The sequence below is a fragment of the Homo sapiens genome, chromosome 12 (assembly GCF_000001405.40).
Source record: "Homo sapiens chromosome 12, GRCh38.p14 Primary Assembly".
NCBI lineage: Eukaryota > Metazoa > Chordata > Mammalia > Primates > Hominidae > Homo > Homo sapiens.
In genome coordinates, this window is record NC_000012.12 from 94,508,387 (window position 1) to 94,526,289 (window position 17,903).

At 42.1% G+C, this 17,903-nt stretch overlaps 1 long non-coding RNA gene and 2 pseudogenes across 1 annotated transcript in view, besides 1 other annotated feature; 2 read left to right on the forward strand and 1 right to left on the reverse strand.

Moving 5' to 3' along the window:
* LOC102724960 (uncharacterized) overlaps nucleotides 1–17,903 on the forward strand; it is a 66,649-nt gene that overhangs the window by 36,070 nt on the left and 12,676 nt on the right. The gene's annotated exons all lie outside the window — the stretch shown is intronic.
* RN7SL483P (RNA, 7SL, cytoplasmic 483, pseudogene) lies at nucleotides 7,090–7,374 on the forward strand (annotated as a pseudogene).
* Nucleotides 12,952–13,594, reverse strand: NSA2P2 (NSA2 pseudogene 2; annotated as a pseudogene).
* Nucleotides 12,982–13,565: an enhancer, noted in NCBI's record as "NANOG hESC enhancer chr12:94915144-94915727 (GRCh37/hg19 assembly coordinates)". NCBI's record gives its function as "activates a minimal SCP1, AML or CMV promoter by ChIP-STARR-seq in naive H9 embryonic stem cells {active_cell/tissue: H9 hESC(naive)}" and the evidence as "EXISTENCE:reporter gene assay evidence [ECO:0000049][PMID:30033119]".

Below are 17,903 nucleotides of genomic sequence, written 5' to 3' on the forward strand. Positions count from 1 at the left end.
TTAGTGTGTTTGCATTGCTATAAAGGAATTCCTGAGGCTGGGTAAGTTATAAAGGAAAGAGGTTTATTTGGCTCACAGTTCTGCAGGCTGGATAAGGAGCATGGTGCCAGCATCTGCTTCTGGTGAGGGCCTCAGGAAGCTTACAATCATGGTGGAAGGTGAAGGGAAACCAGAGCATTACATGGCAAGAGAGGGAGCAAGAGAGTGAGGGAGCAGGTGCCAGCCTTTTTTAAACAATCAGATCTTTTTTTTTTTTTTTTTTTTTGGGATGGGGTCTTGCTTTGTCACCCAGGCTGGAGTGCAGTAGTGCGATCTTGGCTCACTGCAGCCTTTGCCTACCGGGTTCCAGTGATACTCCTGCCTCAGCCTCACAGGTAGCTGGGATTACAGGCATGCGCCAACACGCCCAGCTAATTTTCTTTTCTTTTTTTGGGGCGGGGGATGAAGTCTCGCTCTGTAGCCCAGGCTGGAGTGCAGTGGCATGATCTTGGCTCACTACAACCTCCACCTCCTGGGTCCCGGTTCAAGCAATTCTCCTACCTCAGCCTCCCAGGTAGCTGGGATTACAGGCACACACCACCATGCCCAGCTAATTTTTGTATTTTCAGTAGAGATGGCGTTTCACCATGTTGGCCAGGCTGGTCTTGAACTCCTGATCTCATGATCCATCCGCCTTGGCCTCCCAAAGTGCTGGGATTACAGGCGTGAGCCACCGTGCCTGGCCTTAAACAACCGAATCTTGCATGAACTCATAGAGTGAGAACTCACTGAAGGACAGCACCAAGCCACTCATGAGGGATCGGCCCCCGTGAGCCAAACACCTCCCACTAGGCCCACCTCCAACATTGGAGGCCCACATTTCAACTTGAGATTTGGAGGGGACAAAACATCCAAACCATATCCCCCCCCAAACTTTTAGTGGCCCCTTTTTAAGAATCCTGTTGGAGACATTGATGATGACAGGCAAAGTGTTTCCCTCCCCTTCCACCCCCATAAATTAAACTCTGCCTTGGGTCCATTAGATGTCCCTGCAGTTGCAGAAAACTGTACAGAAAGGAGCAGGCCCAACATGGTCTCAAAGAGCCCCAAGTTATCACTGAAAAGAAGTGTGATGTAATAGAAAGAACTCGAACTTGGGAGTCAGCCAGCTCCGTGTTCAAATTCCAGATCTGCCCCTTAGCTGCAAGATCTAGGCAAGTGACTTAGGCTTTCTGAGCTTCTGTTTCCTCCTTATAAAGTCACTTTCATGTGGTTGAGGTAAGAGGTGAATGAAATACTTCTGCCTCAAATACTCCTTGATGAGGTGATATAGTTTGGATCTGTGTCCCCGCCCAAATCTCATATCAAATTGCAATCCCCAATGTTGGAGGTAGAGCCTGGTGAGAGAGAATTGGATCATGGGGCTGTGTTTCTCATGAATAGATTAGCATCATCCCTGCTGATTCTGTTCTCATGATAGTGAGTGAGTTTGCCTGAAATCTGGTTGTTTAAAAGTGTGTAGCACCTCCCCTCTCTCTCTCTTGCCTGTGCTCCTGCCATGTAAGACACCTGCTGCTCCTTTGCCTTCTGCCATGACTGAAAGCTTCCTGAGGCCTCCCCCAAAGCAGAAGCTGCTATCCTTCCTGTACAGCCTGCAGAACCGTGAGCCAATAAAACCCCTTTTCTTTATAAATGACCCAGTTTCAGGTATTTCTTTATAGCAACATGAGAACGAACTAATACAGAAAAATGAGGGATGAATCTGATGTGAGCAATGCATATTTGAGATCGACCATGTCCAGCCCTTGCTCTGTGCATGGCGTGAAGAAGGAGGGGCTCGCGTTTCCTGCCCTTCCACAGCCATCAGCAGGGAAGACAAAGTGGCCAAGAGATGCTCACTTCTCTATGGAAGTGTCAGCTGCCCCATGACCAGTGATGTCTTTGCCAAGTGATAAGTCACCGAGCTGGAAGTGGCTGAGCAGAATAGTGCTAAGAGCTAAGAGTGCTAAGCAGAGTCAGTCAATCCTTGTGACACCCCAGCTTCCCCATTCAGTCACTAAGAGACCCAAGGAAAAGATTCTGCCTCCCTGTGCTTTAGCCTCTTTACCTGTAAGGTGAGAACAGCAAGACCACCGACCAAATACACTAATACCCTTAAAGAATTTTGGACTTGGCACAGAGTCAGAGCTCCACAGGAGCTTCACAATAAGGCCACTGCTTTTTGCAAACATCTCCCTTGTCATCCTGACATTGCAAAGGCCACCTGTTGGCTGTGGCCTCTCCCTTCCCTGTCTCTGTCATAGGCCTTTTTCTGTTCTGTCTGCGGTAGCTTCGCCACAGCCTTAGCCATAGCAGCAGTTGTTTGTTTTGTTTGTTTTTATTGTTTGACCAACATCTACCCAATCCCCCCATCCCCTAGCCCCTGTAACTACCATTCTACTCTCTGCTTCTATGAGTTCAACTTTTTTTCAGATTCTACGTATAACTGAGATCTTGCAGTATTTGTCTTTCTATGCCTGGCTTATTTCACTTAACATAATGTCCTCTAGGTTTATTCATGTTGTTGCAAATGACAAGATTTCCTTCTTTTCTTTACAGCTGAATGTTATTCCACTGTGTATACATGCCACCTTCTCTTTATTCATTCATCCACTGATGAACACTTAGGTCGTTTGCATACATTGTGACTATCGTGAATAGTGCTTCAATGAACATGGGAGATATCTCTTTGACATATTGATTTCACTTCCCTTGGATATGTACTCAAAAGTGGGATTGCTGGAATCATATGGTAGTTCTATTTTTAATTTTTTTCAGGAATCTCCATACTATTTTCCATAATGGTTGTACTAATTTACATTCCCACCAACAGTGTACAAGGGTTCCCCTTTCTCCAACACTTGTTATCTTTTGTTTTTTTGATAATAGCCATTCTAACAGGTGCAAAGTATAGTTTTAATCTGCATGTGCCTGATGATTCGTGATACTGAGCATTTTTTCATATACCTGTTGGCCATGCCAGCAGTTTCCCAGTTACTTCCTACTGCCTGTACTTTTTCCTTTTCTAGCTATTATCACATATTTCTTCAGTTCATAAATATAGCATTAAAAAAATCATGGGCTCCTTTCCTCTCCCATCTGGCACCACTGTGATGTGTCCCCCAAGGAACTGGAGTCTAGGCCCGAATGCAGTCTAGGATAAGGAATAGGAAAATGAATTCTTTTGTTATAACCTTTTACTTGATGCAGTTTTTGGAGAGGAAGCTTGTCACTTTCTGCTTCCTGCAGCTCTGTGTCAGGGCTGTGATTTCAGGCCTTTTTAAGGCTGCAAATAGGCTTGACCCATCTGGCAAATCTCAAAGTCAACTTTCCCTATAGTGTGCCAGCACTCTGAACTGGAGTTATTTAAATTCAACCTTCTGCCTGACCTGGAGGAGAAAAAATAAATAGCAGAGTGTTGCTTTATGGGTTCAAACTAAGACCCCAATGCTGAGGATGAGATGATGTAAACAGGAGGGCCTGGGAGAGGAGATGTATTTTCTCCCAGGTCATTTGCACATTGTTTAATGTGCCAGAAGAAATAATTTGGAAGAACCTTTTGAACCTGAAAGAATGTCCCCAAAGTAAGTGGGTATTTTTAAAAACTCTGTATGGCCTTCTCCTCATTTAAAATTTCACTGCTCTCTGGGAGGCAGAAAAAATCTTTTACCCATCCTGTATCTTCTTTTTTCTTCCTTGCTGTCAAAATCAAACTCCCATTATAGAGTTTGAAAATGCCATATATTTGCTTCCTCCACCTCTCTTGCAGCCCAGCATGGGCACGTAACCTAATTTCAGGCAATGGAATTTGGAGAAATCTGATACCAGGGGTTCTAAGGAAGGTTTCTCTCCTAATAAATAAGAAGCCCATGGAAAGCCTTCCCTTCTTATTTGTTGAACAGGTGGCTGCCTGTAACGTCCCAGGCACATCTTGTCTCCATCCTTTCTCTTAAATGTGGGAAACTTCTTCTGGGGTCAGGCCTACCTGACCCTGTGCCCACTCTTAGAAATCTCAGCCACTCACATGGCTTTATCTGTGTGATATTGTGAAATATCTATTTGGTCTTCATCCAGCTTCTAAAATCCTTGAAATCTCCAGAATGGTAACAGTGTCTTTTGCATAAGAAGATGGCTTCAGGATGAGGGCTGGTCACCAGAAAAACCAAGACATGAATAAAGGGTTGGAACTTTCAACCTTACATCCTGACTTCCAGAAAGCGGCTGAAGGTCGAGGTTGATCACCAATAGCCAATAATGTAATCAATCATGCCTATGTAATGAAGCCTCCATAAAAACCCAAAAGGACAGGTTTCAGATGAGCTTCCAGATAGTTAAGCATGTGGAGGTTCCTGGAGAGGGCATGGAAGTTCCATGCCCCTTCCCCCATAACTTCCCCTATGCAACTCTTCCATTTGACTGTTCATCTGTACCCTTTGCAATATCCTTCATACTAAACTGAGAAATGTAAGTGTATTTGTCTGTTCTCACGCTGCTAATAAAGACATACCCAAGACTGGGTAATTTATAAAGAAAAAGAGGTTTAATGGACTCAGAGTTCCACATGGCTGGGGAGGCCTCACAATCATGACAGAAGACGAAGGAGGAGCAAGGACACGTCTTACATGGCAGCAGGCAAGAGAGTGTGTGCAGGAGAGCTCCCCTTTATCAAACCATCAGATCTCATGAGACTTATTCACTATCATGAGAACAGCACGAGAAAGACCTGCCCCCATGATTCAATTTCCTTGTACCAGGTCCCTCCTACCACACGTGGGGATTATAGGAGTGACAATTCAAAATGAGATTTGGGTGGGGGACACAGCCAAACCATATTAGTAAGTAAGCATTTCCTTGAGTTCTATGAGCAGCTCTAGCAATTCAATTGAACCCTAGGAGGGGGCTGTAGGAACCCCAATTTATAGCCACCCAGTCTAAAGCACAGGTCACAGTCTGAGGCTTGCAACTGGCATCTGAAGTGGGGGGCGATCTTGCGGGACTGAGCCCTCAATCCCTGGGACCTGATGCCATCTCAGGTAGATAGTGTCAGATCTGCAAATGTGTTGATAACAGAGTATGCTTATTTCAGTAATTCAGCAAACATTTACTGAGCACCTACTTTATGCCATGTTCTAAAAGCGAGGACAAGATAGGCAAGGTCTCTACATCCATGAAACTTACAATCTAATAGGCTTCTAGCACAATAACTGTCTCCACTTGGCTTTTCTGTTTGGTGTCCTAACTATTCCTGACATAACACATCTAAAGTTAAACTCACTCTCTTTTCTCCGAAACTGACTTCTCTATTTCTGGTCATGGATCCCAGGTTCAAAATCATGACATCATCTTTGTCTCTTCATTCACCCTTGTTGCCAGCATACCTCATTTCTATTTAGTCATTAAGTCTACTCCCAATAAGTGCCAGGAGCTGGAGCTACAAAGATACATAATGGTCCCTGATACATACACATATATATAATCACAATACAGAGTAAGATGTGCAACAATAGAGGTCCATGGTAGATGAGAGGGGAAAGTGCCTCAATTCTTGAGAAAGCCAGGAAAGGAGAAAACGAGGAGAGTAAGAAGAGACAAAACTGAAAATAGAATCTTGCAAAAATACTAATATTTACAGGGTTGAACAGTGTCAGATGGGCAGAGAAGTCAGGTTATGATAAGGCCTGAAAATGTCTTGTGGTTTTGTAAACTAGGAGGTGATCTTGGTGAGAACAGTTTCAGTGGAGTGGCGGGTTAGCCACTCCAAGAATGAATGGAAGATAGTGAGGAGGACTGGTTTAACATTTCTAGCATCTATTCTTCCTTCTGGGAACATTGTCTTGAGTTTCCTTTGGGGCCACCCCTTTCCCTCTCTAACCATGCTCAGGTGGAGGTGGCCCCACCACTAGATCCAGGGCCCAGCCAACAAAATCACCACATATCCATGCCCATTGGAGATTTGTTCAGGGGTGGAATTATGACCAAGACTGGGCCAATGAGAAATCCATTGCTGGAACTCTCAGGAAACAGGTGCTCTTGTTCTACACCAGTTTGAAGCTCAGGATCTCACCTTGTCAGAGCTGGACTATTGCATCAGTCCTTTTACTAGTCTCCTTGTCTTCGAATTCTTCATATCAACCAAAGCTTCCAAGCTCTTCTTTTCAACACTGCTTTTACATTATTCAAAAACTATTGAGCACCCACCATTAAATTCATGGCACTTAGTGCTTCATATTCCATTATCTGGAGCAAGTCTACCTTTCCTTGTACCTCCCTGTCATCAAAGCTTTACATATCTTTCCTACTCCTGGACTGCCTACCCGTTTCCTTTCTACTATTTAAATCCATCTCATCTTTCAATGTCCTAGCTCAAACGTCATCTTCCTCCATCTGGTACCAGTATCACTTGACAGCAATTTTTGGAAAATATGATTTATTGTCTAGTTTTATTACCTCTCATTTTACATCTTTAGTTTTTTTCTCTCCCAATTACCTTGCAGGAAATATGAAGGCAATAGCCATGTCATAATTATTGGTATACTGTGAGGCATTGATAACAGAGCTCTGTACAGCCAACACTCAAAATTTTCACAGAATAATGAATAGACATTTTCGGTTCAGCAGCAGGTGGCAAGAAATGGAGATTAATGTAAAGCTACCATTTATATGATGAGAAGAGATGTGGTCAGCAGTGAAGAGAGGGAAAAAAAATTTAATGGATACAAATAGTCTGGTCAAGAAGATAGAGCTAGGAGCATTGTAAGTGGAAAATTTTTGTGCAAAGTCAAACTTGACAAGGCAAGGAGATAAACCCAAAACAACAGGATGGGGGCCACAGGGACAAGCTCTGAAAATGCTGGAGTGTCTGTAATCCAAAGGGTGGTGAGAAGCGCAAAGAGAAGCTAAGTGACTTCAAGGATCAGCATAGCCAGTGACTTCAGCAGCAAGGACTCACATGACTCAGAGCAGGAAGAGGTTGTGAGGACCCTGGGAGATGGCACTTATTGGACAAATAGTACTTACATTTTATCACTCTCTTTAACTCCCTCCAAAGCTCCTCTAGAAGAATGAAGAAAAGCTGGGTGTGGTGGCGCGTGCCTGTTGTCCCAGCTACTTGGGAGGCTGAGGCAGGAGGACCACTTGAGCCCAGGAGTTCTGGGCAGTAGTGCGCTGTGCCGATCTGGTGTCTGCATTAACTTTGGCATCGATATAGTGACCTCCCAGGAGCAGAAGACCAGCAGGTTGCCTAAGGAGGGGTGAACCAGCCCCAGTCAGAAACAGAGCAGATCAAAACTCCTGTACTGATCAGTAGTGGGATCACGCCTGTGAATAGCCTGGGTAACATAGCCACGTCCCATCTCTAAAAAAGAAAAGAATTTTTTGGCCGGGCGCGGTGGCTCACGCCTGTAATCCCAGCACTTTGGGAGGCCGAGGTGGGCGGAACACAAGGTCAGGAGTTTGAGACCAGCCTGGCCAATATGGTGAAACTCTGTCCCTACTAAAAATACAAAAAATAGCCAGGTGTGGTGGTGTGCACCTGTAGTCCCAGCTACTCGGGAGGCTGAGGCAGAAGAATCGCTTGAACCCAGGAGGCGGAGGTTGCAGTGAGCTGAGATCATACCACTGCATTCCAGCCTGGGTGACAGAGCAAGACTCCAGCTCAAAACAAAAAAAAAAAAGAAAAGAAAAGAAAAGAAAAGAAACGAATTTTAATTTATTTAAAAAAAAAAAGAATGAAGATAAGCTCTCAGAAATGACTTCCCCAGGGATGTGGAATGGTGATGAGAAACCACTGTTGACAAGGTCCCAGGAGACACCCACGTTGCAATTCTCATGGTCATCTCCAGTCTTCACCTTCCTTGGTGATCTCTCTTCCTGAAACATTCTCTGTCCTGGGCCTCTGGGACACCCCCTTTCATAGTTCTGCTCCTAAGGAACTGTTCCCTCCTCCTCAATCTCTTCTATTGGATCTTCTTTATCTTCCTGACTTTTGAGCACCAGAGGGTCCTAGAGCTTCATTCTCAGGCTCTTTTTGTCTAGATTTGCAGTCAGGTACTGGGGGGAGTCTCATCCAGATTCAGAGCTTGAAATACCTTTTATGAGTTGATGATATCCAGTTTTGTATCTCAAGCCATAACCTCTCTCTTCTCCCTTAAATTCTAGAATCACAGGTCTACTGTCCATTCTATATCTCCACCTGGATGACTAATCATCATTCCAAGCTTGACAGTTCAGAAGTGAGCTTTTACCCCTCTCCCATCCCACCACTGAACTCTACTGTGCTTCCATTCTTGGCCATTTCTGTAAATTACTACGCCACTCTAACAGCTGTCAGGCCAAACTCTTTGAATCAACCTCGTCTGTACTCTTTCTCATACCTGACATCCAATCCATTAGCAAATTTGGTCAGCGTTGCCTTAAAAATATATCTTGACTCTGAAATGTGTCTCTTCACTGCCACCATTACCACCCTAGTCCAGTCTACTCTCATTTCTGACCTGGACTATAATCATGAACTTTTAATTGGTCTTTGTGCTTTCACCTTTGTGGTCGCCTCCAGTCTCTTCCCACAGAGCAGCCAGAGTTATCCCTCTGAAGTGTGAGTAAAGTCTCATTACTCATCAGCTCAAAACCCTCTGTATTAGTTAGGGCTCTCCAGAGAGACAGAGCAATGGGATATATATAGATGTAGATACATGAGAGGGGACTTACGAGGAGAATTGGTTCATGTTATTATAGAGGCTAAGTTCCACTATAGACGGTCTGCAAACTGGAGGCCCTGGGATGCCAGCAGTGTGACTCAGTCCAAGTCTGAAAGCCTTAGAACTAGGGAAGACAATGGTGTAATTGTCAGTCCAAGGCTGAAGCCCTGTGAACCTGGAATGGCTGCTGATATACATGCTGGAATATCCTAAGACCAGAGAGTCTGGGATTCTGATGTCCAAAGGCAGGAGGAGAAGAGTGTATCCAGCTCCAGGAGAGAGAATGAGAGACAAATTCCCTTTTCCTAGGATCGTGTTCTATCTGGGCCCTCAGCCAGTTGGATGGTGCCCACCCACATGGAGGGCAGATCTTCCCGACTTAGTCCACTGAGACTCACATGCCAATCTGCTCTAGAAACATCCTCGAAGACACACCCCAAAATAATGTTTTGCCACTTCTCTGGGTATTCCTTAATCCAGTCAAGTCGACACTCTAAATTAACCTTCACGTCCTCCGATAAAAGTCTGACACATGTTACTTCATGGATGATACCTTGAAGACATTAACCTTCAAAACTAAGTGAAATAAGCCAGACATCAAAGGATAAATAGTATATGAGTCCACTTAAATGAAATACCTAGAATAGTCAAACTTATAGAGGCAGAAAGTAACATAGTATTTACCAGGGGCTGCCTGGAGGGGAGAATGGGAGTTACTGTTGAATTGGTACAAAGCTTCATTTTGGGATGACGAAAAAGTTCTGGAGATGGATAGTGGTTACAGTTGCATAATAATGTGCTTAATGGCACTAAACTGAACACCGTATACTTAAAATAATTAAAATGGTAAATTTGGCCAGGCACGGTGGCTCACGCCTGTAATCCCAGCACTTTGGGAGGCCGAGGTGGGCGGATCACAAGGTCAAGAGATGGAGAGCATCCTGGCCAACATGGTGAAACCCCGTCTCTACCAAAAATACAAAAATTAGCTGGATGTGGTGGCACATGCCTATAGTCCCAGCTACTCAAGAGGTTGAGGTAGGAGAATGGCTTGAACCCGGGAGGCGGAGGTTGCAGTGAGCCGCCGAGATCGCGCCACTGCACTCCAGCCTGGTGACAGAGTGAGACTCTGTCAAAAAAAAAAATTTAAAAAAAGGTAAATTTAAAGTTATATATATATTATCAAAATTTAAAAACAAAAAATTCTGTAATGGCTTTCCATCTCACTCAGGGTCAAATCCAAAGTCCTCACAAAGGCCTTTTAGGCCCTGCATCCTTGGACCTCTGCCACCCCTCAACCTCCTCTTCCACCACTCTTTGCCCCTACCATACCACTCTGCTGCAGCCACACTGACCTTGCGATTCCCCAGACAAGTCAAGGACACTCCCGCTCAAACATGCCTAGCACTGTCCTGCCTTAGGCCTTTTCATTGGCTGTTCTTTCTGCCTGAAGTATTTTTCCCCCTAGAAGTTTGCATGCTTATCTCTTTTACTTTATTTAGTTCTCTACTCAAAAGTCACTGTTAGAGCAGTCATTCCATAGCTAACATAGCACCTCATAACCCCTCCATTGTTCACAATCCCTTACCCAGATTTATGCTTTAAAGCACTTATCACAGACTGACTCTTTTTTCCATTCACTCAGTTATTGTCACATTCTCCCCATTAGAATGTAAGCTCTCTGAGAACAAGGATGTTGTTTGTTCCACTGATAGATCCTAGTTTCCTAGAACCATACCTAGCATACAGTAGGCACTCAATAAGTATTTTTCTTGAATGAATAAATGAATGAATGACATTCTTAGCAAGTGCCAAAAGATAGTATCTGTATTAGTCTGTTCTTGTGTTACTATAAATACCTGAGGCTGGGCAATTTATGAAGAAAAGAGGTTTAGTTCTGCAGGATGTACAGGAAGTATGGTGCCAGCATCTGCTCAGCTTCCAGTGAGGCCTCAAAGAGCTTTTACTCATGGCAGAAGGCAAAGAAGGAGCAGGCACATCACATAGTGAGAGAGGGAGCAAGAGCGGTGGCGGGGTATAGGAGATGCCAAGCTCTTTAAACAATCAGTTCTCATGTCAACTACCAGAGAGAGAACTCACTCATTATCATGGGGATGGCACCAAACCATCCATGAGGGATCAGCCCCCATGATCCAATACCTCCTACCAGACCCCACTTTCAACACTGGGGATTACATTTCAACATAAGATCTGGAAGGGACAAGCATCCAAGCCATATCAGTAACCCAAAAGACTGTTTAGGTAACTGCCTAATTTCTGGATAAGTAAAAATAATTCTCTTGGAAGAGGCATGCTGAACCCAGTTGCTTTTGTATTTTGTTTTGGGGTTTTGTTTCTTTTACTAATTCTGAAAAACATGTTCATGACAAAAACACAGCTAATACCAAAAAGTAAAGAAAAAAATAAAGGACACTCAATTCCACAATTACTACTGTAGATATCAGAAGGTTTTATTCAAGTTTTTTAATGTATATTCATTCTTCTTAGCCTGAGGGCTCATAAAAGCAGAGCCTGAGGCAAGGATTACAGCACTGATACTTTAATTGGGAAGTGCAAGCACAGGGTTGAAAGGAGAAGAGAAAAGGCCAGGCGAGACAAGGAAAGATGCAAACATGATTGTGGGATGTTGATTTTCAACCCTACTTCAGAACTGGGAAGAAAAGGATGGGAATAAGGGAAATCAAAATGCCACAAAACTCACTGCTTTTATTGAAATTCAGCTATTTTTCTTGAATCAACATTCTCTGGTCAATGCTGACAATTGTGCTAGCTTTCTTCTTGTTGCTTTCATGGTGGAGAGAATTTTTGGAGATCCTTACTCTTCCATTTTTCTCTGACATAACTCACACAGTTTTATGCATTTTTTTATTACACATGAGCATTTTCCATATCCTTAAGTATTCTCCAAAAAGATAGAGGTTAATGGATGTATATTATCGATATTTATTTAATCATTCTTCTATATTGAACTTTTACATTATCTTCTAGTTTTCTCCTTATAGATAATACCTTGATACATATTCTTTGACCATATCTTGGATTACTTTCTTGTGCTAAATTGATAGCAATGGAACTACTTACTGAATTAAAGACTATGAACATTTTTAAGCTGTCTGAGTTAGGTAGTAATAGAAAGTTAGGTTGATTACAGAGGAGATCTACCAAAAAAACAACAAAAAAGTAAACTGCAAGTAATAGAAAAACTAACAACTAGGATTTATTACTTACATAACCAAGAAATATGAAGGAAGATAGGGAGATATAATCAAGAAATTAGACTTTTTATTTTTTTGCTCCAACTTCTTCAGAATGTTGACTTTTCATCCAGGTACTTATTTGCCTCTTGGCAGCAAATGTCTCCCAGCATCACACTGTCACACAAAATTCAGGAAGACAGGGGTATATGAAGCCAGGACAGTGAGAGAGGCTCTTTACATACCACTCTTTAGGAAGGAAAATGTTTACCAGAAACCCCCCACAGGAGAATTCTCCTCAGGGCTTATTTCCAAGTACTGAGTCTTGTGGTCATCATTAACTGTTGGGTAGGCTAGGTAAACAAGTATCTGGTCTTTTCCACATTCAATAGTGAAATTAGACAAGATTTGATATAGGTGTTGAATTGGAACTGTATTAGATAGCAAAAGCCACAACAGTGCTGTGTAACAAACCATCCCAGAACTTAGGTGTAAAAAACAGTAAGCATTTATTTCATGTTCACAGTTTGGATTAATTGAAGCCTGTCTGATCTATGTTGGGTTTGGCTAGCCTTGTCTGTGGGAGGGCTCAGGTCTGTTCTATGTGTGATCATTATTGGGTTTTTTTTTTAATTTACTTTTTAAATGTTTACAATTTAATAAATCTCTTCATTGCAGACATGTATGGCTGTTTGGTAGTATTCAGAAACATCACAGCAATGGCAGTTTTTCCAATTGGTGTGTAGTCCTCAATAATTATATATAAAATTGCTGTCAAATCAGTAAGACTGCATTTATGCATGCATCATTTTCAGGATTGTTAGTAACCTGGGCATAATTTCCCCAAATAACTTTGCCTCCTTGCATCACAAGGCCCAATTCGCTCATATTTACTTCAATGACAGTACCTTTGGTAATAACATCGAAAGTTGTATACAGTGGGGACAAGGGGCTCTTCTTTACACCAAGTATTCGTAGGCAAAAGGTGGCTTTCATTTCAGGATGTGTTACATGGGCTTTCTTGAAATGCAAGCCCATTGGCCTGATGAATCTTTCATATTTAGGTGGTTTTCTTGTAAACCCATCTCCAACAAAGCAGACTTTAGTAACCATCCTCTTCCATGCCTTCTTCTTTCTCTTTCCTGTTCGAATAACTTTTAATACTTCTGTTTCTCCCTGGGCACGTACTTTAGGCAGAGGGACTTCCCATTTTCCCACTTTCTCTTTTCGTTTCTGTTTAATCCTATTGGAAAGTACTTTAGCTCGAGATTGTTCCTCTCTGTCCAGCAGATAGGCAGGTACTGCTCCCTGTGGAGTCTTTTCATCATTCTTTTGTTTGATGTTTCTCTTTTCATGCATCTTGATAGTCTTTTCATTTGTATTTTCTCAGCATGGCGCTGTTTATGGTAAAGCTTAGCCTTCAGACCAATCATTTTCTTTCCCTTCTTTGAACATTCATGAGCCTCTCGACTTTCCTTCTTTCCCTTTTTCTCATGGTAATCCAAATGGTATCCATAGTGTTTACAGTGTAATTCAATATATTCGTTCTGTGGCATGGTGACAGCCACAGAGCTGCCAGGAGCAGTCCCTGGGGTGCGAAAACGCTCTCCATTTTTGGGTCTCAGAGACCCACGAGCCCACGCCGCACAGGCCGGGACAGGAAAGCATTATTGGTTTTGTTTTTACTTTTTATTTTAAAACAAAATATAAATAAAGAAAACAGCTGGGTATGGTGGCTCACACCTGTAATCCTAGCTACTTGGGAGGCTGAGGCAGGAGAATCGCTTGAACCCCAGAGGTGGAGGTTGCAGTGAGCTCAGATAGCAACACTGCACTCCAGCCTGGGTGACAGAACAAGACTCTGTCTCAAAAAGAAAAAGAAAGAGAAGAAAAAAGAAAAAAAAAAAAGAGAGAGAGAGAGACAGTGTCTCCCTCTGTTGCCCAGGCTGGAGTGCAGGAACACAATCATAGCTCACTATAACCTCAAACTCATAGGCTCATGTGATCCTCTCCTCTTGGCCTCCCAAGTAGGTGGGACTACAGGTGCACACCACTATATCCAGTTATTTTTATTTTTTTATAGGGATGGGGTCTCCCTATGCTGCTCAGGCTGGTCTCGAACTCTGAGCTCAAACAATCCTCCCACCTCAGCCTTCCAAATAATTAAGATTACAGGTGTGAGCCACCACACCTGGCCTCCGTCATCTGCTAGTGGTTACCCAGTAGTATAGTTTATATAGGAAAGTCAGGATAACGCCCAATTCCTTTCCTTTATTTATCCATTTTTTGAAATAATGAATTAATTGTTATCCTTCAAAGGAGACCAATTTTTTATTACTATGAATTCAGAAATGTAAATATATTCGATGTATTTCAGTTCATTCCAATTCTTGTCCTTATTGAAGCTAAAATTGTCTGATTTGTGGCCACTAGGAATCTCTTCAAGTTGACGCCTGAGTCATTTTGAAATGACCCTAGTAGTTGATAGAGTCCTTGCTATCTGGTATTACAAAATGTTCTAGGTTAAGTTTGTACTTTTTTTGGTTTGTTTTTTGTTTTTTTGGGTTTTTCTTTTTTTTTTTTTTTTTGAGACAGAGTCTCACTCTGTCACCCAAGCTGGAGTGTAATGGCATGATCTCAGCTCGCTGCAGCCTCTGCCTCCTGGGTTCAAGCGATTCTCCTGCCTCAACCTCCTGGGTAGCTGGGACTACAGGTGCGCACCACTACGCCCAGCTAATTTTCATATTTTTAGTAGAGACAGGGTTTCACCATGTTGGCAAGGTGGGTCTCGAACTCCTGACTTAAGTGATCCTCCCGCCTTGGCCTCCCAAAGTGCTGGGATTACAAGCGTGAGCCACCATGCCCAGCCTAGTTTGTACTTTTTTTTGCCACAGGTTTGGAATCAGTCATTTATCCAAGAAGCTCTGGTTTTCTTTTAGTGAAAAGTGTAATTTCTTTATCACAAGCTGGGCTCCAGGGATGCCCTATGTTACTTGGTAGACTTGTCAATATATGGGGGCTATTTTAGTAAACAGAACTAGAGAATATATTTTGAAGGTAAAAAACATTTCATGACTTGACAGCGATATTTCTAATTCACACTCAAGTCTACAGTGCTATGCCTTAACATTTTTTTTGTTTGTGTTTCTTATAGAGAGAGTGTCTCGCTATGTTGCCCTGGCTGGTCTTGAACTCCTGAGCTCAAATAATCCTCTCGCCTCAGCCTCCCAAAGTGGTAGAATTACAGGCATGAGCCACCATGCCTGGGCCCTTAACTTCTTTTATATTGTCTCTGCAACTCCTTCTTCCACACCAAGAATCCTGGTTCTGGTTCTTAGAACAGGAGAAGTGATGGAATATTCCATAACTGCTCATTTACTTTATCCTACATTATATACAGAAGAGTTTCAAAATAACAATACTTACAATAACCATTACAAATTATGACTACTGACATTTTTTTAAACTTTTTCATACCTTATTCCCACTCTTGCCTCATTTTTTAAAGTTATACTCGATCTACATTGTCAAGGCACATAATCATCACATATTATTCTTTCCCTTTTTACTCTCATTTAGTCTTCATCTACAAGTACCTATATATTTAATACTTACCATCAGTCCTTATACCAGAGACTGTCTAGTCACTTTGGTTGTCTAAAGCTTATTCTGTAACAGGTTCCTCAGGAAGTACGCATAGGAACAATATTCCCTGAGTTTTTGCATGTTCATAACAGCTTCTCTGTGCCCTTTATACTTAAAGAGTTATATGTCTTTCCTTGAGAGTCCTAAGTGTGCTATTCCATTTTCTTCTGACACCAAAAGTCTAATAATAATCAAAAAGTCTAATAAAAATCTTCCTTCCCTTATAACCTCATGTTGTTTTTGCCTAGATACTTAAAGATTTTTTTTCCTTTTTCTTTAAAATCCAGAAATTTTACTAGAATATGTCTTAGTATTGGTCATTCAGGTTCACTATTCTCATATGGAAGTCCCCTTCCATCCTCCCTTCTTCTTTCTTTCTTTCCTTCTTTCCTTCCTTCCTTCCTTCCTTCCTTTCCTTCCTCTCTCTCTCTCTCTCTCTCTCTCTCTCTCTTTCTCTTTCTTTCTTGATAAAATCTCACTCTGTTGCCCAGGCTGGAGTGCAGTGGCATGATCTTGGCTCACTGCAACCTCTGCCTCCCAGGTTCAAGCAATTCTCCTGCCTCAGCCTCCCAAGTAGCTGAGATTACAGGCATGCACCACCACACTCAGCTAATTTTCATATCTTTAGGAGAGATGGGGTTTCACCATGTTGGCCAGGTGGGCTCAAACTCTTGACCTCAGAAGATTCACCTGCCTTGGCCTCCCAAAGTGCTAGGATTCCAGGCGTGAGCCACCGCGCCCAGCCCATAGTCTCTTTTAATACGTACCTTCAAATCTATTTTATTTAAAATTTCTTTCTTGAATTATAACACTTAATATTTGATTTTCTTGCTTTGGTTTTCTTATTCAGACACTTTTGTTATCCACATGTTGGTTCTTTGCCTATATTCATTCAATAGCTGTATTGTTCCTCAATCTTTCTCTCTCTCTTAGGTTCTTTTTGATTTTTTAAATATTTTCCTTACTTTTACCTTCTGTTTCTCTTAAGGCATTGTCTCCTATGTTTATTTACTGGGTCCCTTATAGTTGAGTCTTCATTTATTTTATTTTTATATTTTTCTTGAGTTCTGTCACTTCACTTCTGAGTTTTCCTAATTCTGATTATGTTGTTCTTTCATGTTTTGTATCATTTTCTTAATGTCTTCCAGCTTATTTTGAAATAGAGCATTATAGTTGCATTTTTCTTTTTAAAGCAAATCTTTCTGATCTGCTTTCATTACCTGTAGGGATATTATTTTGCTCTATTCTCATTTTCCTTACAATAACTTTGCATGAGGTTTGACCGCAATACTTTATTGTTGCTTATTTTTATATGGATTTAGGTTTCTTGAGCTTTTAGATTGAGGCTTTGTTCAGAATAACTGTTACAACTTTACAAAATTACCTATTCTGCTGTGTTTCATGTAGTGCAAAAAAAAAAAAAAAAGCAGCTTGCTTTATAAGGTTTCCTGGAGATTCTCATCACTTTTGTCTACCTTCTTTCCTTCATCTCTGTAATGCCTATTCTGTTCAATTTTAATTCTAGTCCCAGTAGTATCTTTAGGGAACAAACCTGTCCTAAAAGAGATTCCTACCTGGTGGGTTTTGAGAGTTCACAGGGGCCGGACTTCTCCATACCTTTCAGACCTCACTGAAGGGCTCCCCACTGCTCTCACCAGCAAATTGGAATAGGCAAAACCGTTTCAGCTACTCTTCCAAAATTGGCCTGCTGAGCCTTCCAGTGAATACCTGTAGTATATTTTAGGGGTTTCCTGTTCTCAGGTTTGTTAAATGCCTCATTACTCTCCTCTGCTTTCTCCTGCCCAGATGAGGATGCCATGCAGGTCTTGTGACTATCAATTATTTATTCTTGCCTGCTTCTATTTTCAGGGTTCAAAGGGATACCTTCTCATTTGGTTTGGTTGGAAATGTCTGCAGATTTTTGGTTTTGCTATGAGCTTGTTCCGGCTATTTTTATGTGAGAATTAGGAAAGTTTCAAGAGCAATTCTGCCACCACCATTCCAACTTCCCAAACCCACGTTTTCACTCTAGAGCCCATGTTGAAGGGGCAGGACTACATAGGGGAAGCTCTTTTTGTGGTAAAGGGAGAAATGCAACAGAACAAACTTGACACCAGAGGATGTTTAAACCTCTGTGTGCAGCACACATTTGTTAACTTTCCACTGGCCAAAAACAGCCACAAGGCCAACCACCACATCAATATGCAAGAAAATAGACTCTTCTTCTAGTGGGAGGAACTACAAAATCATGAAAACAGCACGGATATAGGCAGCAACAAGGAATTGAGAATAATGATTCAGTACTCCACACCAACCAACTGCATCTGCC